The sequence below is a fragment of the Homo sapiens genome, chromosome 15, assembly GCF_000001405.40.
Source record: "Homo sapiens chromosome 15, GRCh38.p14 Primary Assembly".
Lineage (NCBI taxonomy): Eukaryota > Metazoa > Chordata > Mammalia > Primates > Hominidae > Homo > Homo sapiens.
Window position 1 is genome coordinate 74461251 of NC_000015.10, and position 22458 is coordinate 74483708.

The window sequence follows — 22458 nt, forward strand, 5'->3', positions numbered from 1 at the left end:
CTACAAGAGGCGCTAGTTGCAAAGCTTCCGGTTCTGGGGGAAGGCGTGGCTTCCGCGCTCTTTGAAATGTCCGGCGCCGGAATGTCTGGGTGCTTTGGTTGGAGAGGGTCCCATTTCCAGTCATTCTTCAGCCTGGTGATTCCCGCGCTCCCCTGAGGAGCATATGAAGTACGTCGGTTCTGCCAGGTTGGAACGCGCTGCTGGACACTCGGCCGTAAGGCGGATCCCGGATCCCCTCCCACTCCGACCCTTCCCTCCAGAAGGGCCGGTTCCCAAACGGCCCCTTTAGACACATCCAAGCGGTTGCCGACGGCCCTCACGATGAAAACTGCTGTCCGTTGGTGAAGGCAGCCTCTTCTGTGCTCCTCGCCGCTGACTTCCTGAGGCGGACCTACCTGTGGAGGCATACCAGGAACCAGACGATGACCCCCTCCAAAAGTTGGGTCTTTGAGGAGAGCTACTAACTTGGGTTCCTGGTACACCCTCTACATGCAGTGGTGAAGCTTATCTAACAGTCATTCATAGAATCAGTTTGGGAAGGGGAATTTTCACTGAACTCTCATAGAGAAACTGTGTTTTAGATAACAGAAAGTTCTGCACGGTTAAAATGGAACAGAAATTTTTTTGCACAGAAATTAGGATTACCGAAAATACTGAAGAAAGACTACCTCTGATTGGACTCTTCTCAAGGAATTAATAATTCAAGAACTAAGGAAAGAAAAAAGTGATTATATGAAAATACTGAAGTTGATCGTAGCAGCTGAAGGCTGATCCTGTGTGGGTAAATGTAAACGCTGAATTCCCACATTCCAATGTGCGACCTGGGATTAAGGCAGCAATTGAGCAGGGTAATGTTACTGAGGAGAGCGAACAGATCGCAGGATCTCAGAAGGCCTAACATTAAAGGCAGATCACCCCTCTGTTCTCATAAGTTATATGGGGAGTTTTGAAATGGCTTTCACTGTCTTCAGGGAGTTTATCTTCAGGATAACTCCCATGTATGTTGTGGGCGCATTAGGAACCCATGGCTGTTCCCAAAGTCTCCCTTTCCCATCCTACCCATTTTTAGATATACCCCCTCTTTCAGTAATCCTTCCTAACTAGACTTCTTTAGACTCCTTCCTCTCCTGCCTACTAAGTTACTTGCACCTGAGCTCCATAATTTATCAAAATTATATATTGTGAATACTTTCCCAGTTCATGATTTTTTTTTTACTCTTAATGGTATTAGATAATTTAATTTCATTTTAAAACTTTTTTTTTTTTTTGAGACGGAGTCTTGCTCTGTCGCCCAGATTGGAGTGCAGTAGTGGCCGATCTCGGCTCACTGCACCCTCCGCCTCCCGGGTTCAAGAGATTCTCATGCCTCAGCCTCTTGAGGAGCTGGGGCTACAGGTACCTGCCACCACGCCCGGCTAATTTTTGTATTTTTAGTAGAGACGGGGTTTCACCACGTTGGCCAGGCTGCTCGAACTCCTGACCTCAGGTGATCCCAAAGTGCTGGGATTACAAGCGGTAGCCACCACGCCCGGCCTGAAATTTTGTTGTGATGGTTAGTGCCTTTTGTGTCCTATGTAAGAAATCTTTGCCTGCCCTCGTTATGAAGATACTATCCTAGGTTTTCTTCTGTGTTATTTTATCTTTCACATTTAGGTCTATGATTAATTTCACATTAATCTTTGTATATGATAGGAGTTAGACATCAAGATTCATCTCTTCCATATGGGTGTACAATTGATCCAGCACTATTTAAAAATTTTGTTCCCACTGAATTTCAGTGGCAGCTTTGTCATAAATCCGGTGACTATGTATGTCTGGGTCAATTTTTGACTCTTATTCTGTGCCATGGGTGTATTTTTCTGTCATTGTGCCAATGTCACACGTCTTGATTTCTCTAACTTTAGAGTAGGTCTTGATATCTGCTAGCCTTTTGGCTTTAAGAGGGGCATGGCTATTCTATCACCAATAGATGACAATTGTTAACTTTGTTTTATGCTTCTAAAAGTATAATTTTACTGAATCTTAAATATGTATATTCAACAAAATTTAGATTACACTGTACATTTGTTTAGTAATCTACATATTTTACCTAGCTTGAATATTTCCCCTGTGCTCAAATATTCTTGAGACTTTTTACTTTGAAATAATTTCAAGTTTACAGTACAGTTGCAAAAATATTACAAAATAATGCCCTCATACCCTTAACCCAAAGTCCCCAGTTGTTAATAGTTTACATTTACCTCATCATTCTTTCTCTCTCACTCTCTCACTATGCATATTGTTCTTTTGTTTTTCCACCCGATCCGTTTAAGAGCCAATTACAGACATTACCCAAAGTATTTCTGTATTTCCTGAAAACAAGGATATATTCTATGTCACAGCCACAGTACAACCCAGCAAAATCAAGAAATTAATAAATACAATAATACCATGTAACTTACAATCTCATTCAGCTTTCATCAACCATTCCAGTTGGGTGGAGGCTGATCATCTCTCTGCCATTTTCATAAGTTATGTCATAGATTTTCACATCTGTCACATCATTCATTTCTCCAAAGAGCCTTAGTTCCTTTTAGTAAGGAATGGTATTTAGAAGCCAAGTTTGGATGCTAGGTGTGTTTATTGCTACTGAGATGTCATTATTTCCAGTCTATTTCAGTGACTAGACCTAGCAAATAAATGAATATTGATATACACACCCATTCATCTATATTTCTATGAAATATATTTAAATATGTGTGCATATAGATGTGTATATGTATATATAGATCTATGTATATGTGAGCATATATATGTGCACATATATCAAAATATATATGTATATATAAAATATGAGTTCACACCAATACCTCAAATTCCAATCCAATACCACATATTTTCCTCTAGTCTTCCTCTTCTCTATAATTTTACCTCCCTTCTGCAATAGTAGGAAACTTGATTCTCATTTTCCACAATATACTTGTATTTTCTCATGTTGACATTCATGGTACCTGATATGGTTTGGCTCTGTGTCCCCACCCAAATCTCATGTTGAATTGTAATCCTCAATGTTGGAGGAGGGGCCTGGTGGGAGGTCATGATGTTTGGATCATGGGGCAGACTTCCCCCTTGCTGTTCTCATGACAGTGAGTTCTCAAGAGATCTGGTTGTTCAAAAGTGTGTAGCACTTCCCCCTTTGCCCTCTCTCTCCTGCTCTGCCATGTGAAGATGTGCTTGCTTCCCCTTCACGTTCTGCCATGATTGTATGTTTCCTGTGGCTTCCCCAGCCATGCTTCCTGTATAGCCTGCAGAACTGTGCGTCAATTAAAGCACTTTTCTTTATAAATCACCTGGTCTCAGGTAGTTCTTTATAGCAGTGCAAGAACAGACTAATACAGTACCATAACAATGGAGCCTCCTCTTCAACTTGATTCTTGAGTCCTTTTGACATAACCCTGGAGGTTTTTGATAGCTCCCTGCTATCTAGCATGACAAGAGTTCCTAGCTAATCTTGTACTTCCTGCCCTAGGCATAAAAATTAGCCATTTCTTCAAGAAATTCATATGGTTTTCTGTGGGAAATGGTATATTAAGACCACAATCTGGGCACTAGGGATGCTTATTGCTACTGAATTGTTTGTTACTTGTAAGCCACATTAGTGGATGGAGCTAGGGGGAGATCTATATCCATAGAGATATAAATAGAGAATATTTATACTGCTACTTCAAATTCAAGACTACAGAGGTTGGGTTTGGTTTTGGCTTTTGGTTTTATGGGTTGCTTTTTGTTTTGTTTTTTTTGAGACAGGATCTCCCTCTGTTGCCCAGGCTGGAGTACAGAGGTGCAATCATGACTCACTGCTGCCTCAAACTCCCAGGCTCAAGCGATTCTCCCACCTCAGCCTGCCAAGTAGCTGGGACTACAGTTGTGCACCACCATGCCCAGCTAATTTGTGTATTTTCTGTGGAGGCAGGGTTTCACCATGTTGCCCAGGCCGGTCTTGAATTACTGGACTCAAGCAATCTGCCCACCTCAGCCTCCCAAAGTAAGACTGCAGAATTTTAATTTAATATTTTCTATATTACATCTTTATTTCCTTTCTTCCACACTGAGAATACTAGTTCTCAAGAACATAAGGGACAACAGTATTTAAATATCTATTTTCATTTCCTTTATCCCATATCACATACCCAACTGTCTCAAAATAACAATACTAATGATACTATCACCACCAATATAATTATTGAGACGTTTAAAAAAATGTTTGCATATGCCCTTCTCATTCTATCCCCTCCATTCATTCTCTCCATTTTAACAGATGTGCTGTATATTATCTGAGCCTATACTCATTACTCTACCTTCCTCTTTTTAACTCTCTTAATACTACAAAGAATTCCATGTTTAGGCCAGGTGCGGCAGCGCACACCTGTAATCCCAGCACTTTGGGAGGCTGAGACAGGCAGATCACCTGAGGTCAGGAGTTTGAGACCAGCCTGGCCAACATAGTGAAACCCTTCTCTACTAAAAATACAAAAATTAGTGGGGGTGTGCTGGCGGGCACTGTAATCTCAGCTACTTGGGAGCTTGAGGCAGGAGAATTGCTTGAACCCAGGAAGTGGAGGTTGCAGTGAGCCGAGATCACACCATTGCACTCCAGCCTGGGCGACAAGAGTGAAACTCCATCTCAAAAATAAATAAATAAATAAAATCAGAATTCCATGTTTAATGCTTTCCACTGGTTTTTGTTGCTGTTGTTGTTGTTGTTTTGTTTTGTTTTCTGACACAGAGTCTCACTGTATCACCCAGGCTGAAGTACATTGGTGCAATCTTGGCTCACTGCATCTCCACCCCAGGTTCAAGCGATTCTCCTGCCTCAGCCTCCCAAGCAGCTGGGATTACAGGTATGTAGCACAATGCCCGGCTAATTTTTGTATTTTTAATAGAGACAGAGTTTCACCGTGTTGGCTAGGCTGGTCTCAAACTCCTGGCCTCAAGTGATTCACCCGCCTTGGCCTCCCAAAATGTTGGGATTACAAGCATGAGCCACTGTGCCTGGCCCAGTGGTTTTTATTACTGAACCCGTTCTTTAGTGGATTTCCTGGAAGGACTACAATATTCTCTGTGAATGATATTCCCTAAACTTTTGCATATTAATAGCAGTTTATTTCTGGCCTTTATGCTTGAAAATCAGTTTGCTAAATATAAAATTGTTGGCTCACATTTTCTTTCTTAAGATATTTCATTTTCATCTGATGACAGAAATCTAATTTTCTTTCCCTTACAAGTTACTTGCTCTTTTCACCAGGTTGCCCAAGTAGTTTTTAAAATTTTTTGTTTAATTTCCAGTCATTTTACCTGACTACATCTTGGTGCTGTTTGTTTTAGGTCAGTAGTCTCAGTTATGTGGTATTCTCTTCCAAAATGTAATTTATATTTTTTTTATTTCAGTAAAGATTGATTTTTGAATTACAGGTTTTAGAATAGTTCCGTTCTCTTGCCTTGGTTTGGTTCTTAAGAGGACTCATGTTAGCCATATGTTGTATCTTTGTTGTTTCTCTTCAATATCTGCCACTTTTCTCAAATCTTTTCTCTTTCTTCATTTTTAAAAATATTTTTTAAATGTTCCTCCTTTCTACATTCTACTTAAGGCATCATCTGTTGTATTTATTTCTTCTGTGTTCCTTTTGCTTTAGTCTTCATTTTGTATTTATTTTTTATTTTTTATTTTTTGAGACAGAATTTCGCTCTGTCGCCCAGGCTGAAGTGCAGTTGCGTGATCTCTGCTCACCACAACCTCCACCTCCCGGGTTCAAGCAATTCTCCTGCCTCAGCCTCCCAAGTAGGTGGGATTATAGGTGCCTGCCACAGTGCCCGGCTAATTTTTATATTTGTTAGTAGAGATGAGGTTTCACCATGTTGGCCAGGCTGGTCTCAAACTCCTGACCTCAGGTGATCCACCTGTCTCAGCCTCCCAAAGTGCTGGGATTACAGGCATGAGCCACTGTGCTTGGCCTATTTTTTTTCTTTTATTTATAAGTTTCTTTCCTGAGTTCTGTCACCTCATTTCTGAGTTCTCCAAGTTCTTTTTGATGTTGTGTTTTCATATATCATTTTCTTTCTTTTTTTTTTTTTCTGAGATGGAGTCTCATTCTGTTGCCCAGGCTGGAGTGCAGTGGCACGATCTCAGCTTACTGCAACCTCTGCCTCCTGAGTTCAAGCGATTCTCCTGTCTCAGCCTCCCAAGTAGCTGGGATTACAGGCGGGCATCACCACACTCAGCTAATTTTTGAATTTTTACTAGAGATGGGGTTTCACCATGTTGACCAGGCTGGTATCAAACTCCTGGCCTCAAGTGATCCACCCACCTCAGCCTCCCAAAGTGCTGGGATTATAAACGTGAACCACTGCACCTGGCCATATCATTTTCTTAATACATTTCAGTTTATTTTGAAAATAGATGATTATAGTTTTTATCTGTTCTCTGTTCACATCTTATTGGTATGCTTTTATTATTTATAGAAATATAATTCTGCTGCTTATTCTCTTATCATAATTTTGTATGATATTTGGCTTATATATTTTCTGTTATTCATTTTTGTGTGAAATTACTTTTCCTATGCTTTTAAAAAGAGATGTGGTTCAGGGTAGCATTTTGAACTTGAGAGAGCTTCCTCCTCTATTGTTTTCATGTAGTGTTAAAAAATATGGCAGCTTGCTTTCTGAGATTCTTTAGCTCTATTAGCCTTCCTAATTTTTTTTTTTTTTTTTTTTTTTTTTGAGACAGAGTCTCACGCTTTCGCTAGGCTGGAGTGCAGTAGCAGGATCTCGGCTCATTGCAACCTCCACCCTCCCGGGTTCAAGTGATTCTCCTGCCTCAGCCTCCTGAGTAGCTGGGGCTACAGGCATGCACCACCACACCCAGATAATTTTTGTATTTTTAGTAGAAACGGGATTTCACCATGTTAGCCAGATGGTCTCCATCTCTTGACCTCGTGATCCGCCTGCCTTGGCCCCCCAAAGTGCTGGGATTACAAGCGTGAGCCACCGCGCCTGGCCATTAGCCTTCCTAATTTTTATCTGGATCTTCTCTTTTCTTCATCTTTATTTATGTCTGTCCTGATCAATTTTGATTCCATTTCTAGCAGTTTTTCCTCAGTATGAGACCCTGTTCTGGAGGGAAACCCTGGCATGCCAGCTTTAGGATTCACATAGGCCGAGCTGCTCTAGTCCTTTAAGACGTTAAAGCAGTTCCCTTGCATTTAGTCACTATTGGGCAAAAAACCTCCCAGTTTCAGCTGTTGTTCGCAAATTAGTCAAGCTTTCTAATGAATGCCTGCTGGCTAGTTAGAGGAATTCCTATCCTCAGATCTGTTAGCTGTAGCGTTGCTTCCTTCTGCTTCTTTCTGCACAGCTGATGATGCCACACAAGTCTTGCAGCTGCCGATAGTTTGTCCTCACCAATTTGGATTTTGCAGTTAATGGGGATATATCATCACCTGATATTAGTCTGTTTAGGCTAATATAACAAAATACAGACTGTGTGGCTTAAACAACAGAAACTTATTTTCTCCCAGTTCTGGAGGCTGGAGAGTCCAAGATCAAAGTTCAGCAGTGTTCAATTTCTGGTGAGGGCTCTTTTCCTGGCTTGCACATGGCCACCTTCTTGCTCTGTCCTCATACAATCTTTCCTTGATGCCTGTAATGGAAGAAAGAGAGATCTTCCCCCTCTTATAAGGCCACCAGTCCTATTGGATTATGGCCCCACCATCATGACCTCATTTTTTTTTTTTTTTTTTGGGACGGAGTCTCGCTTTGTTGCCCAGGCTGGAGTGCAGTGGCGCAAACTCGGCTCACTGCAAGCTCCACCTCCCGGGTTCACGCCATTCTCCTGCCTCAGCCTCCCAGGTAGCTGGGACTACAGGCACCCGCCATCACGCTCGGCTAAATTTTTTTTGTATTTTTCGGTAGAGACGGGGTTTCACCCTGTTAGCTAGGATGGTCTCAATCTCCTGACCTCATGATCTGCCCACCTCGGCCTCCCAAAGTGCTGGGATTACAGGCATAAGCCACTGCGCCTGGCCAACCTCATTTAATCTTAATAACCTCCTACAAGCCCAATCTCCAAATCACATTTGAAGTTACACTGGGGGTTAAGCCTTCAATATATAAATTTGTGGTGGGTAGGGGGCAATTCAGTCCATAGCACCTAGGTTTTTTTTTTTTTCTCTTTTTTTGAGACAGAGGCTTGCTCTGTCACCCAGGCTGGAGTGTAGTGATGCAATCCTGGCTCACTGCAACCTCCACCTCCCGGGTTCAATGATTCTCCTGCCTCAGCGTCCCGAGTAGCTAGGACTACAGGCATGTGCCACCACACCTGACTAATTTTTGTATTTTTTGTAGAAACAAGGTTTCACCATGTTGGCAAGGCTGATCTCAAACTCCTGACCTCAAGTGATCCACCTGCCTCGGGCCCCCAAAGTGCTGGGATTTCAGGCCATAGCACCTAGTTATTTTGTAAACACTGTCCATGGATTTTTTGTTTTGTCACCCAGTTGCTATGCTTTTAATTGTGGATCCAGAAAGATTAAAAAGCTTGGCCGGGCGGAGTGGCTTATGCCTGTAATCCCAGTACTTTGGGAGGCTGAGGCAGGAGGATCACTTGAGCCCAGAAGTTTGAGACCAACCCAGGCAATGCAGTGAGATTCCATCTCTACAAAAAATTTAAAAATTAGCCAAGCATGGTGGCATGTGCCTGTAGTCCCAGCTGCTTGGGAGGCTGAGGTGAGAGGATTGGTTAAACCTGAGAGGTCAAGGCTGCAGTGGGCCATGATTGTGCCACTGCACTGCAGCCTGGGCAACAGAGCAAGACCCTGTTCTCAAGAGAAAAAACTATGTCACTTAATATGCTAAGTGAAATAAGCCAGTCACAAAGGACAAATACTGTATGATTCCACTAATGTGAGGTACCTAGAGTAGTTAAAATCATGGAGACAGAAAGTAAAATGATTGTCGTCCAGGACTGGGGTTAAGAGGGAATGAGGAATTATTTTTTGTTCAGTGGAACAGAGTTTCAGTTTCGGAAGATGGAAAAAGTTCTGGAGATAGACATGGCGATGGTTGCACAACAATGTGAATGTGCTAAATATCACTGAATTGTACACTTAGAATGGCTACAATGGTCATTTTTGGTTATGTGTATTTTACTCTAATAAAAAAGGAAAAATAGAAACACATACAACAGCAGTCCCCAACCTTTTCAGCACCAGGGACTAGTTTTATGGAAGATAATTTTTCCACAGACCAGGGTAGGGAGATGGTTTCAGGATGATTCAAGTGCCTCACATTTATTGTGCACTTGATTTCTGTTATTATTACATTGTAATATAAAATGAAGTAATTATACAACTCACCATAATGTAGAGTCAGTGGGAGCCCTGAGCTAGTTTTCCTGCAAATAGATGGTCCCGTCTGGGGGTGATGAGAGACAATGACAGATCATCAGGCATTAGATTCTCATAAGGAGCAACCTAGATCCCTTGCATGTGCAGTTCACAGTAGGGTTTATGCTCCTGTAAGAACCTAATGCTGCCACTGATCTGACAGGAGGCAGAGCTCAGGCAGTAATACGAGTAGTGGGGAGCAGCTGTAAATACAGATGACGCCTCGCTCACGCCGCTCACCTCCTGCTGTGCAGCCTGGTTCCTAAAAGGCTTCAACCCCAACCCCCTGGGGTTGAGGACCCCTGACATAGAAGACCCCAAAAAAGGACCCCATCAAAATTTGAATGATTCCACCCATCAATCACTGTGCTGGGATTCCACCAACCCTTCACTTGACTGGAGAATAAAGAATAAAGACTATGAGTCCACTAAAATGATTGTGAAATATAAAGATAGGTCTTACCACATCTGTAAGTCTTTTTCTTCTCCTGTAGCCTGAAATAAAAATAGACAAAGAGACTGGGCGCGGTGGCTCATGCCTGTAATCCTAGCACTTTAGGAGGCCAAGGCGGGCAGATCACGAGGTCAGGAGTTGCAGACCAGCCTGACCAACACGGTGAAACCGTTAAGTTAGGAAAGAACCTAACTTCTTGATTTTGTATTCTCTACTGAAAATACAAAAATTAGCCAGGTGTGGTGGCACACACCTGTAATCCCAGCTACTCAGGAGGCTGAGGCAGGAGAATTGCTTGAACCTGGAAGGCGGAGGTTGTAGTGAGCTGAGATCATGCCGCTGCACTCCAGCCTGGGTGACAGAGCGAGACTCCATCTCAAAAAAAAAAAAAAAAAAAAAAGGACAAAAAAGAAATGTCTACCTTTATGGCTGAAGTTTTATTTCACAAATATTCAAGTGCCTATTATATGCAAGATATTATGTCAGGAGCTGAGGAAAATGTGAGAATGAAGCATATACAAGAAGCTCAGAATCCTGAAGGGGATATGTACATGCATAAGTTTTTCCATGAATAATTTTAATACAAGAGAAAATATGAAGTATGCCCTGTTCTGTGCCCCTAAGGTGCTCTGTGATCACAGCTCACTGCAGCCTCAACCTCCTGGGCTCAAATGATCCTTCCACCTCGGTCTCCCGAGTAGCTGGGACTACAGGCACATGTCATCACGCCCGGCTAATTTTTTTATTTTTAGTAGAGATGGGGTTTCACAATGTTGCCCAGGGTGGTTTTGAATTCCTGAGCTCAGGCAATCTGCCCACCTCGGCCTCCCAAAGTGCTAGGATTACAGGCGTGAGCCACTGTGCCCGGCCTGATGCAAAGTTGTTTGTTGTTGTTGTTGTTATTGTTTTTGTGGTTTGAGACAGGGTCTCACTTTGTCACCCAGGCTGGAGTGGAGTGACATGATTTCGGCTTACTGCAACCTCGACCTCCTATGTTCAAGCTATCCTCCTCCCTCAGCCCCACAAATGGTTGGGACTATAGGCGCACACTACCATGCTTGGCTAGTATTTGCATTTTTTGTGGAGACGGGGTGTCACCATGTTGCCCAGGCTGGTCTTGAACTTCTGAGCTCAAGTGATCCACCTGCCTCGGCTTCCCAAAATGCTAGGATTACAGGTGTGAGCCACTGTACCAGGCCTCAAAGTTCTTTTTCATCTTTAGCATCTCTTGCTGTGAGCCTCATGACCTGCCTAGCTGCCCTTCTGATCTTGTAGAAGAGTCTATGAAGCAGACTTGAATCTTACATGAACAGATACTTCACCAAAAAGGATATCTAAATGTTCATATGGAAATTTACTCATGCTCACTAGTCATAAGAAATATGTAAATTAAAACAAAAATACTACTATACACCCATCAGAATGACTACAATTAAAAAGATCAATAATACCAAGTGTTGGCAAGGATGTGAAGAAACTAGTACTCTCGTGGTTCTGGTAGGAGTGTAAATTAGTACAGCTACTTGAGACGTTTGGCAATATGCACTGAAGCTGAATTTACACTTATCCTATATCCCAGCAATTCTATTCCTAAGTATGTAGATAACAGAAATGCACACGTGCTCACAAAAGACATGTGCAAGAATATTCATTGCAGCACCATTCCTGATAGCGCTAAATGGGAAATAACACAAATATTCACCAATAGTAGAATGAATGAATACATTGTGTTATATTCAAACTATGGTGCACTATAAAGTAATGAGAGTTATGGAGCCACCCCTATTCACAATAACCTGGAAGAATCCCATTAATATAATGTTGAATGAAAGAAGCTAGACACAAAAGGCTATAGATGGGGTCAGGCACCATAGCTCACACCTGTAATCCTAACACTTTGGGAGGCCGAGGTGGGTGGATCGCTTGAGGTCAGGAGTTGGAGACCAGCCTGGCCAACATGGTGAAACCCCATCTCTATTAAAAATACAAAAAAATTAGCCAGGCATGGTGGCGGGTGCCTATAATCCCAGCTAATCTGGTGGCTGAGGCAGGAGAATCACTGGAACCCAGGAGGCGGAGGTTGCAGTGAGCCGAGATCACGCCACTGCACTCCAGCCTGGGCAACAGAGTGAGACTCTGTCTCAAAAAACAAACAAACAAAACAAAGCAACAAAACACATGGAAAGCCAAATATAATCACAAGCCTGCCTGGAGAGCTAGAATCAGAGCACCACAATGGGAGAGGGGGTCAAGGGAGAATAAGAGTGTGCTTTCAAGACCCTCACAGTAAAGATGGATCTGCCGCTAGAATTGCACAGGATGTGACTTTGGCCCAGGGCTCCCTCTCCCCCAGCAGTGTTCAGATGAGCATCACCAGTGTCACCTCAGGGACTGTCCTGGGTTCAGCCTCTCCAGTGGTAACTCATCCCCTTTCTTGTCTCTTACTTCAGCTATGCTGGAGGACATTTGTTGGTTGTCTTATCCATTTTCCCACATCACTCCCAGAGATCCCTGGCCTCTTTTCAACAGACCATACTTTCCCTTTGGGGATCAATCCATGTAGTTCCTGGGATGTGGCTTCACATAAGCCAAGCCATTCAGCACAGTCCATCCTCTGAGCCCAGTGATGGGTTCAGCATGTTAGCCACAAATGCTAGGATGCTGAAACTATATTTTTCACTGGGCATGAATGAGAAAGCACATAGCCATGGGGGCTTTCTGAGGACTGTAAGGGGAGCCAGCCTCAGAGTATTCTCACATGGACTAAGGCAGAAGGGAGGGCTGGAAAGAACCTAACTTCTTGATGATTTTGGTAAACTGCTGGATCAAGTAACAACAACCCCTCTGAACTTTTCAGTTTCTTAAGCCAAGAAATTACTTCTTGTGTATAAACCAGTTTGTAGTGGTCTGGCAGACCTAGTTGACTATGCAATATCTATTCTTATTTATTTATTTATTTATTTATTTTTGAGACAGGATTTTGCTCTGTCACCCAGGCTGGAGTGCAGTGGTGTAATCACAGCTCACTGCAGCCTTGACCTCCTGGGCTCAAGTCATCCTCCCACCTCAGCCTCTCAAGTAGCTGGAACCACAGGTGCACACCACCATGCCCAACTAATTTTTTTTTTTTAATTTTCTGTAGTAGGCAAGGCACAGTGGCTCATGCCTATAATCCCAGCACTTTGGGAGGCCAAGGCAGAAGGATCACTTGACCCCCAGGAGTTTGAGCCCACCCTGGGCAACATATCAAGACCCCATCTCTGTAATTAATTAATAAATATATGTTTTGCAGTGATGGCGTCTCAATATGTTGCCCAGGCTGGTCTCAACCTCCTGGGCTCAAGAGATCCTCCTACATCAGCCTCCCAAAGTGCTGGAATGACAGATGTGAGTCACCACACTGCCTGGCCTATTCTCTCCTTCTCACAGAACCCCCATTTTATTTAGAGTTTTTAGATATTTATCTCCCCACATTCTTCCAGAGCTAAGGATGTCAATGTGGCCAATAAGGTACAAGTGAAAGTCACTGGGTGGTATTTTTGGAAAAGCAATTGATTACCTGATTCAAAAAGAAGAAGAAGCCAGTCTCAACTGGCACATGCATTCTGCCTTCCCCTACCCACTTCTTCCTACCTGCAAACCAGAAGAGTTACAGCCACCTTGTGATCATGAAGCCAAAAGACACACACTAAGGATGGCTGAAGAAGATAAAAAGAGCCAGATTCCTTGAGCTGCTGCGAGAGTCCTGGACTGCCTATCCCAGTCTCCTCGTAATGTAAAAAAAGTAAACCCCTTTCTTGTTAAGCCTTTGCTTTGCTGGGTTTGTTAAGTGCAGCCAAGCGCATTCCTATCAAATAGAGAATTAGGTCCACTGAAGTGGGGTGCTGCACATAATATCATCTGAAACGTGGACTTCGTTGAGTGGTAGAGACGGAGCTTTGGGCAGTGGGGGCACAGATACTGCAGACGGGAATGCTGACAACCCTGCTATGCTGTGGGAAAACATTTGGTCGATCTGCTATTTTATGGGAGACACCCCACATACCAGCCAAGTCTGTAGTGATAGGGTAAATGGCTAGAATAATTCAGAATGTTGGCACATGCTGGTGACTTCATTCCACTTTCGATGAATTCTTGAAGGAGACCAGTGAACTTGAATTATCCAGGCTGAAGGAAAAAAGGAAGGCAGTGCTACTTCACTAAGTAGTACTTCTGCCTATGGCCTGCAAATCTACTTTGAAGGAGCATTTCATAATTTGGAGAATTGCAGGGCTGAAAAAGACAATTGCTCTGGGCCAGGCATAGTGGCTCATGCCTGTATTCCTAGCACTTTGGGAGGCTAAGGTGGGCAGATCGCTTGAGCCCAGGAGTTTGAGACCAACCTGGGCAACATAGCAAGACCGCGTCTCTACAAAACATACAAAAACTTAGCCTGGTGTGGTGGCATGTGCCTGTAGTCTTAACTACTTGGGAGGCTGAGGCAAGAAGATCACCTGAGCCTAGGAAGGTTGAGGCTGCAGTGAGCCGTGATCACACCACTGCACTCTAGCCGGGGCAACAGAGCCAAACAAGACCCTGTTTCAAAAAAAAAAAAAAAAAAGATAATTGCTCTTTTCTCCATATAGGAGTAGTGGCTGCCAAGCAATATGGTAGAAGAAGGTAAGACTGGTTGGTATCTTGGGCCTTTCCTAAGCACCTTCCTCTAAGAATTCATTCAGCAGAGGAAGTGGAGTCCGCAAAGTGGTTTCTTCCCACTAGAATCTTTTGTTTCAAATTGTCTCAAGTCAATAATCATTAAGTTAAAGGCTAAAGGGACAGGCAGGACACAAAGGCCAGTAGCCAACAAAGGAAGGTTTTCAGGTCTAAAAGACTATGGCCATATAGGAGATTTGGCTATGGCGACTCAAACGTAGGATCAACCAGAGGCAAATACACTGAGAGCCTACAACAATTTTTAAGGAATCATATCACCAAAAATGAAAATTTAAAAACCTGGCCAGCAAAAGCGTATAATTCTTCAATCCCAGGTTCCTAAACTCACACAACAGAAAGCATATTCTCCCCAAAGTTCACTTCAGATATGGTTAAGAGGATAATGAACAAGAAGCCGTCTCAAAAGAAGATGGAACTTGGACCACAGAGTACAATAGAGAAGGGAATTCCTCCTAGAGAATAGGTTGGCTGAACAAGGAAATTATTCCCTGCCTGGAAGGGAGTCCTGGCCACTCCTGTCTAGCAGGATCTGACATTTGTTATAGATCCAATATTTGCAATAGCTTTGACATGCTTAAAACAGAGAGATTCTTTCCTTTATTCACATTCTTCCTTGTCCTACATTGAAGTTTTATTCTGTTCCTTCTCCATTATTGTATATGAGACATGCTGGGGGAAGATAACTTGCCTTTTAGCTTACAGATTACTGGACTGTGAAGATTCACATCAAGACTAAATGGAGAAAGCTGTATATCAGCTGCAGATTCTGGGTTTTGAGATGGATGTAGGCTCTGGGTGAGACTTTGGCACTGTCTACCTTAGAAAGGGAGTATATTCTGTGCATGTGAGGATGGATAGCCAAGGGTGGGCTATGGCAGTCACTGCTTTCCTTCTACCCAATGACTGGTCTCCTTTTCTTCTTGACTAGTACAACCCTGAATTTGATGGAGGAAGTAATGTGTATTTGTCCATTTTTCATGCTGCTGATAAAGACATACCCGAGACTGGGCAATTTACAAATGAAAGAGGTTTATTGGACTTACAATTCTACGTGGCTGGGGACACCTCACCAACATGGCAGAAGGTGAAAGGCACGTCTCACGTGGCAGCAGACAAGAGAAGGGAATGAGAGCCAAGCGAAACAGGTTTCCCCTTATCAAACCATCAGATCTCGTGAGACTTACTCACTACCACAAGAACAGTATGGGGGAACCACCCCCATGATTCAATTATCCCCCACTGGGTCCCTCCCACAACATGTGGGAATTTTGGGAGTACAATTCAAGATGAGATTTGGGTGGGGACACAGCCACACCATATCACAATGTGTCCAGCTAAAACATTACAATTCCCTGCCTCCCTTGCAACTGGGGATGACCTCGACCTCTCTGGCCAGTAAAACGCTGCCAAGGTTATCTGGAAAAGCTTCGTCTTCCAGTTGTAGGTGCTACTCCATCTCTCCTTTGCACCCCTTTGCCAGAACCAGATGGAAACTGGAATTTTCAGAAAAGACTGTTGAGCATCAGAAATGGTTAATATGTGCCTAACCTTGTTTAAACAAAGTGAGTGAAGTAAGGACAAATTTATAAATATGTGAAAAGACTACTTTTTCCTCTTAGTTTCTTTAAAATGCATGCAGCCGTTTAAAAATAAGTAGAAGCTTTCTTTTTTTATGCTCTGGAACATTTTAAGTAGCTGTGAAGGTTTGGTAAATTCTCCTGTGAATCCATCTGGGCCTTGTGACTTGTTAAAGAGCAATTCGTTAATTTGTTTAAATGTTCTGTGTTTACCAGGGTCAATTTGGGTAAGTAATATTTTTGTAGAAAATTATTTATTTAATCTAGGTTTTCAAAGGCATTTGTCTAGGCTTGAGAAAAGTAGTATCTTAGGATTTGTAAATTGTCTTCTGTTTCAGTGGTTGTCCTCTTTGTCATTTCTTATCTTGCACACTGATGCCTTTTTCCTTTCCTTTTTTAAAAAAAAAATTATGAATACATAATAGTCATAAATATTTATGGAACGCATGTGATATTTTCATAAAAGCATACAATATGTAATGTTCAAATCTGGGTAACTGGGATATCCTTCACCTCAAATACCATCTCTTTGTGTTGGGAACATATCCTTTTGTTCTTGATTAGGTTAGCTAGCAGTTCGTCTACTTGACTGATTTGTTTTCTCTAAGAAACAGCAGTTCAGTTAATTTATGTTTTTTATATTTTTTCTTTTTTTTGAAACAATCCATTTTTTATTCAAATAGAATAATATTTAACAATCAAGGTCATATGACTTAAAATCTTCTGAGCTGGGTTTAGGATTCAGATAGATAGTTTATTGTCAGTTGACATTAAAACAATGTTCTTGGCCAGGCACAGTGGCTCATGCCTGTAATTCCAGCACTTTGGGAGGCTGAGGCAGGTCAATCACCTGATGTCAGGAGTTCGAGACCAGCCTGGCCATCATAGCGAAACCCCGTCTCTACTAAAAATGCAAAAATTAGCTGGGCATGGTGGCGGGCATCTGTAATCCCAGCTACTTAGGAGGCTGAGGCAAGAGACTCGCTTGAACCCGGAAGGCAGAGGTTGCAGTGAGCTGAGATTGCACCACTGCACTCCAGCCTGCACAAGAGCAAAACTCCGTCTCGAAAAAAAAAAAAAAGAAAAAAAGAAAAAAAATTATTTGCATCAAAGTTATACAAACAGGTTTTTTTTAGTTTTAAAATCAAATTTATGGCCAGACACAGTGGCTCACACCTGTAATCCTGGCACTTTGGGAGGTCAAGGTAGGTGGATCACCTGAGGTCAGGAGTTCGAGACCAGGCTGGCAACATGGTGAAACCTCATCTCTATTAAAAATACAAAAATTAGCTAGGCGTAGTGGCACACACCTGTAGTCCCAGCTCCTGAGGAGGCTGAGGCACAAGAATCACACTTAAGCCCAGGCAGAGGAGGTTGCAGTAAGCTGAGATCATGATACTGCACTCCAGCCTGGGTGACAGAGTAAGACCCTTTCTCAAAAAAAAAAAAAAAAAAAAAACTTTATTTAGGCCTAATTTCCATGCAATAAAATTATTTTAACTGTACAATATGATGACTTTTGACATATATACACAATAGTATAAGTACTACCACAATCAAGATTCAATTATAACTCATGCCTCTTTGTCAGCACTTTTCATCCCCAATTTCAGCAGCTGGTAACTTTAAGGTTTTGCCTTTTCCAGAATGTCACATAAATGGAATCATACTGTGTCCGGAATTGGTGGGTTCTTGGTCTCACTGACTTCAAGAATGACGCCATGGGCCCTCGCGGTGAGTGTTACAGCTCTTAAGGTGGCGCGTCTGGAGTTTGTTCCTTCTGATGTTCGGATGTGTTCGGAGTTTCTTCCTTCTGGTGGGTTCGTGGTCTCGCTGGCTCAGGAGTGAAGCTGCAGACTTTCGCGGTGAGTGTTACAGCTCTTAAGGCAGCACGTCTGGAGTTGTTTGTTCCTCCCGGTGGGCTCATGGTCTCGCTGGCTTCAAGAGTGAAGCTGCAGACCTTTGCTGTGAGTGTTACAGTTTATAAAAGCAGCGTGGACCCAAAGAGTGAGCAGTAGCAAGATTTATCGCAAAGAGCGAAAGAACAAAGCTTCCACAGTGTGGAAGGGGACCCGAGCGGGTTGCCACTGCTAGCTCGGGCAGCCTGCTTTTATTCTCTTATCTGGCCCCACCCACATCCTGCTGATTGGTAGAGCCAAGTGGTCTGTTTTGACAGGGCGCTGATTGGTGCATTTACAATCCCTGAGCTAGACACAAAGGTTCTCCATGGCCCCATCAGATTAGTTAGACACAGAGTATCGACACAAAGGTTCTCCAAGGCCCCACCAGAGCAGCTAGATACAGAGTGTCGATTGGTGCACTCACAAACCCTAAGCTAGACATAAATGTTCTCCAAGGCCCCACCAGAGTAGCTAGATACAGAGTGTCAACTGGTGCACTCACAAACCCTGAGCTAGACACAGGGTGCTGATTGGTGTGTTTACAAACCTTGAGGTAGATACAGAGTGCCGATTGGTGTATTTACAATCCCTGAGCTAGACATAAAGGTTCTCCAAGGCCCCACCAGAGTAGCCAGATACAGAGTGTCGATTGGTGCATTCACAAACCCTGAGCTAGACACAGGGTGCTGATTGGAGTGTTTACAAACCTTGAGCTAGATACAGAGTGCCGATTGGTGTGTTTACAATCACTGAGCTAGACATAAAGGTTCTCCAAGGCCCCACCAGAGCAGTTAGATAGAGTGTGGATTGGTGCACTCACAAACCCTGAGCTAGACACAGGGTGCTGATAGGTGTGTTTACAAACCTTGAGCTAGATACAGAGTGCCGATTGGTGTATTTACAATCCCTGAGCTAGACATAAAAGTCCTCCAAGGCCCCACCAGACTCAGGAGCTCAGCTGGCTTCACCCAGTGAATCCCACACCTGCGCTGCAGGTGGAGCTGCCTGCCAGTCCCAGTGCCATACGCCCGCACTCCTCAGCCCTTGGGTGGTGGATGGGACTGGGCGCCGTGGAGCAGGGGGCGGCGCTCATCAGGGAGGCTCAGGCTGCACAGGAACCCACGGAGTGGGTGGGAGGCTCAGGCATGGGGGGCTGCAGGTCCCAAGCCCTGCCCGGCGGGAAGGCAGCTAAGCCTCCGTGAGAAATTGAGCGCAGCGCCGGTGGGCTGGCACTGCTGGGGGACCCAGTACACCCTCCGCAGCTGCTGGCCCGGGTGCTAAGTCCCTCATTGCCCGGGGCCAGCAGGGCTGGCCGACTGCTCCGAGTGCGGGGCCGCCAAGCCCACGCCCACCCGGAACTCCAGCTGGCCCGCAAGCGCCTCACGCAGCCCCGGTTCCCGCTCGCGCCTCTCCCTCCACACCTCCCTGCAAGCTGAGGGAGTGGGCTCCAGCCTTGGCCAGCCCAGAAAGGGGCTCCCACAGTGCAGTGGTGGGCTGAAGGGCTCCTCAAGTGCCGCCAAACTGGGAGCCCAGGCAGAGGAGGTGCCGAGAGCAAGCGAGGGCTCTGAGGACTGCCAGCACGCTGTCACCTCTCAATACAGTATGTAGCCCTTTGAGTCTGTTTTCTCTCACTCAGCATAACGATTATGATATTTGTCCATGTTGATGTGGGCATCAATTTATAAAAACAATTTTAATGCAAACATTCAATAGGGCTTCTTTCCCATTTTCCCAAGATTTCATCTCTCTCTCTGCTATGGACACAGATGGCTTCACTCCATCCTGTATTCTTCGGACCATGATAAAATTCCAGACTCTCGGTAGTTTTTGCGTTCCAAGAAGTAGAGCCTAGAGTGGTGGCCTATAATTACAGTTACTCAGGAGGCTGAGGCAGGAGGATCCTTTGAGTCCAGCAGTTTGAGGCCAGCCTGGACACCACAGCAAGACCACCAATAAATAAATAAATAAATGGAACATGTTTCCCTGTCATGGTCATTTTCATCCATTCCTCTGGTAGAAGCATCAGATTCCTTCAAGCAAGGGTTTATGTTGGGGTCTCTCAATCTCTGCGTTAGCACAGGCATCCAGTCTTCTTATGGAGGGGGACGGGGAGGTGGAATGGAGAAACGAGAGAGGCGAATCAGAGACCTCACTGCCTTCTGCCCATTGGTGCTGCCCGTGGACGGCTGGCACAGGGGAGCACCCCATGCTTCTGCCTTCAATGGTGCGGGGAGGGGCAGAGGACAAGGAAACGCAGGAAACTAGGAGTGGGGCAGGCAGACATGCTTCAAAGGCTGGAGCCAAGGAGGGTGCAGGGAGAGTTGGGAGTTCCTGGACCAGGCAGGGGTCACCTCCTCACCACAGCCAGAATAGCTCTACCAGTGCCCATGCCATCTCCAGCTCCAAACACCGTTTTTTCTGTTTCCTAATTCATTAATTTCTTTCTTTTTTTTTGGAGATGGAGTCTCACTCTGTTGCCCAGCCTGTAGTACAGTGGAACAATCTCAGCTCACTGCAACCTCTGCCTCCCAGGTTCAAGTGATTCTCCTGCCTCAGCCTCCTGAGTAGCTGGGATTACAGGTACGCGCCACCATGTGCCTGGCTAATTTTTGTATTTTTAGTAGAGACAGGGTTTCGCCATGTTGCCCAGGCTGGTCTCGAACTCCTAAGCTAAAAGTGATCACCTGCCTCAGCCTCTCAAAGTGCTGGGATTACAGGCGTGAGCTACTGCCCCCGGCCCTCACTTATTAATTTCTATTTATGTCTATATTCATTCCTACCTTCTACTTTCTCTTGGTTTACTTTGCTTTTTTCCTTTTTAGTTGATGTTTACTTTTACTGATATGTGTATTTGATGTAATACATTTCCTAACAATGCTTTTGCAGTACCTCATAAATTCAGATAAGCTGTGTTTTCATTATTGTTATTTTATAAAATTCTGCAATTTTGGTTTGTATTACCCTGTTGACTCAAGAGTTGCTCGATCGAGTTCTTTAAAATTTCTAGGCTGGGCATGGTGGCTCACACCTGTAATCCCAGCACTTTGGGAGGCCAAGGGGGGCAGATCACTTGAGGTCAGGAATTCAAGACCAGCCTGGCCAACATGGTGAAACCTCGTCTCTACTAAAAATACAAAAATTAGCTGGACGTGGTGGCAGGCACCTGTAATCCCAGCTACTTGGGAGGCTGAAGCACGAGAATTGCTTGAACTCGGGAGGCAGAGGTTGCAGTGAGCCAAGATCGCGCCACTGCACTCCATCCAGCCTGAGAGACAGAACGAGACTCCATCTCGGAAAAAAAAAAAAAAATTCTAGTTCGAAAAGTCTTTTTACTTTTAATTTTGTTAATTTGTCATTGTATTGCATTTTGTGATCAGAGAATGTTGTTTCTGCTATTGCTAGTTCACGAATGTTTCTTTCAATTACTCAGTAGACAGTTCTCTGATCCACCAATTCTCAGGATACGGTCCTCTCCTTCTGGGGCTAATTCTAGCCAATGCTATCTGTGTGCTGCCACCTCCAGGACCTGGCTGCACTCTGCTGTCTTCCACACAACCCTCCTGACTTCCCGTTCAGAAGTGAGCTCTAGACCTAGCTCTGCTGGTTTCAGATATTTATCTCCCCATTTATATGTAAATTGAAGTTTGAGGTATGCCCTGTCTCCTAGTGATGCTGTGAGGGATGGGGTGATTTATTTAAGTTGCTTTCATTGTCAATCTGTATGGTTTGTGAAGGACTGTGAAGGGATTTTAGGCATCTGCCATTATTCCACGAGAATCAGGAAGCTTTGTGCTTTCTTTTTATTGTATCTTTGCTGCTTTTTCTTCATTCCTGCCTCCCATTGGCTTAATCAAATTTTCTTTTTTGCCCTTCCCTTCCCATCCACATTGAAGTCATAGTTCCATTTCGGTTCTCTCAGTGGTATCCCTTAAAAGCACAGCATCCACATTTAGCTTAGCAAACTCTAAAGTTAATCAGTATCACCACCTCCCTCCCAAACAGTATGAAGATCTTAGAATGCTCCAATTCCCAGCCAGGCATGGTGGCCCATGCCTGTAATCCCAGCTCATTGGGAGGCTGAGACAGGAGGACCTCTTGAGGCCAGGAGGACCCCTTGAGACCAGCCTGGGCAACATAGCAAGACCTTGTCTCTACAAAAAATAAAAATATTTAGCTGGGTGTGGTGGCACGCATCTGTAATGTCAGCTACTCGGGAGGCTGAGGTGAGAGGATGGCTTGAGCCCAGGAATTCAAGGCTGCAGTGAGCTATGATAGTGTCACTACACCTCAGCCTGGAATCCTGTCTCTTACTAAAAAAAAAAAAAAAATTGCTTTTTTTTTTTGAGATGGAGTCTTGCTCTGTCGCCCAGGCTGGAGTGCAGTGGCATGATCTC

At 44.1% G+C, this 22458-nt stretch overlaps 2 long non-coding RNA genes across 4 annotated transcripts in view, besides 1 other annotated feature; one reads left to right on the forward strand and one right to left on the reverse strand.

The window, feature by feature from the left end:
- On the forward strand, window positions 15-20042 carry UBL7-DT (UBL7 divergent transcript). 3 transcript variants are annotated; one of them, NR_038448.1, is made up of 5 exons: window positions 15-848; window positions 4786-4880; window positions 17810-18028; window positions 19371-19664; window positions 19801-20042. It is a non-coding gene; the product is annotated as a UBL7 divergent transcript (long non-coding RNA). The 3 variants fall into 3 exon arrangements; NR_038449.1 differs by lacking the exon at window positions 19371-19664 and having other exon boundaries at window positions 15-781; NR_120377.1 differs by lacking the exon at window positions 19371-19664 and having other exon boundaries at window positions 15-777.
- Window positions 929-1429: an enhancer, noted in NCBI's record as "H3K4me1 hESC enhancer chr15:74754520-74755020 (GRCh37/hg19 assembly coordinates)". NCBI's record gives its function as "activates a minimal SCP1, AML or CMV promoter by ChIP-STARR-seq in primed H9 embryonic stem cells {active_cell/tissue: H9 hESC(primed)}" and the evidence as "EXISTENCE:reporter gene assay evidence [ECO:0000049][PMID:30033119]".
- LOC101929333 (uncharacterized) overlaps window positions 16897-22458 on the reverse strand; it is a 12138-nt gene continuing 6576 nt past the window's right edge. Inside the window, exon 2 of the long non-coding RNA NR_198993.1 lies at window positions 16897-20153. This is a non-coding gene — a long non-coding RNA (uncharacterized LOC101929333). The remainder of the gene's footprint in view (window positions 20154-22458) is intronic.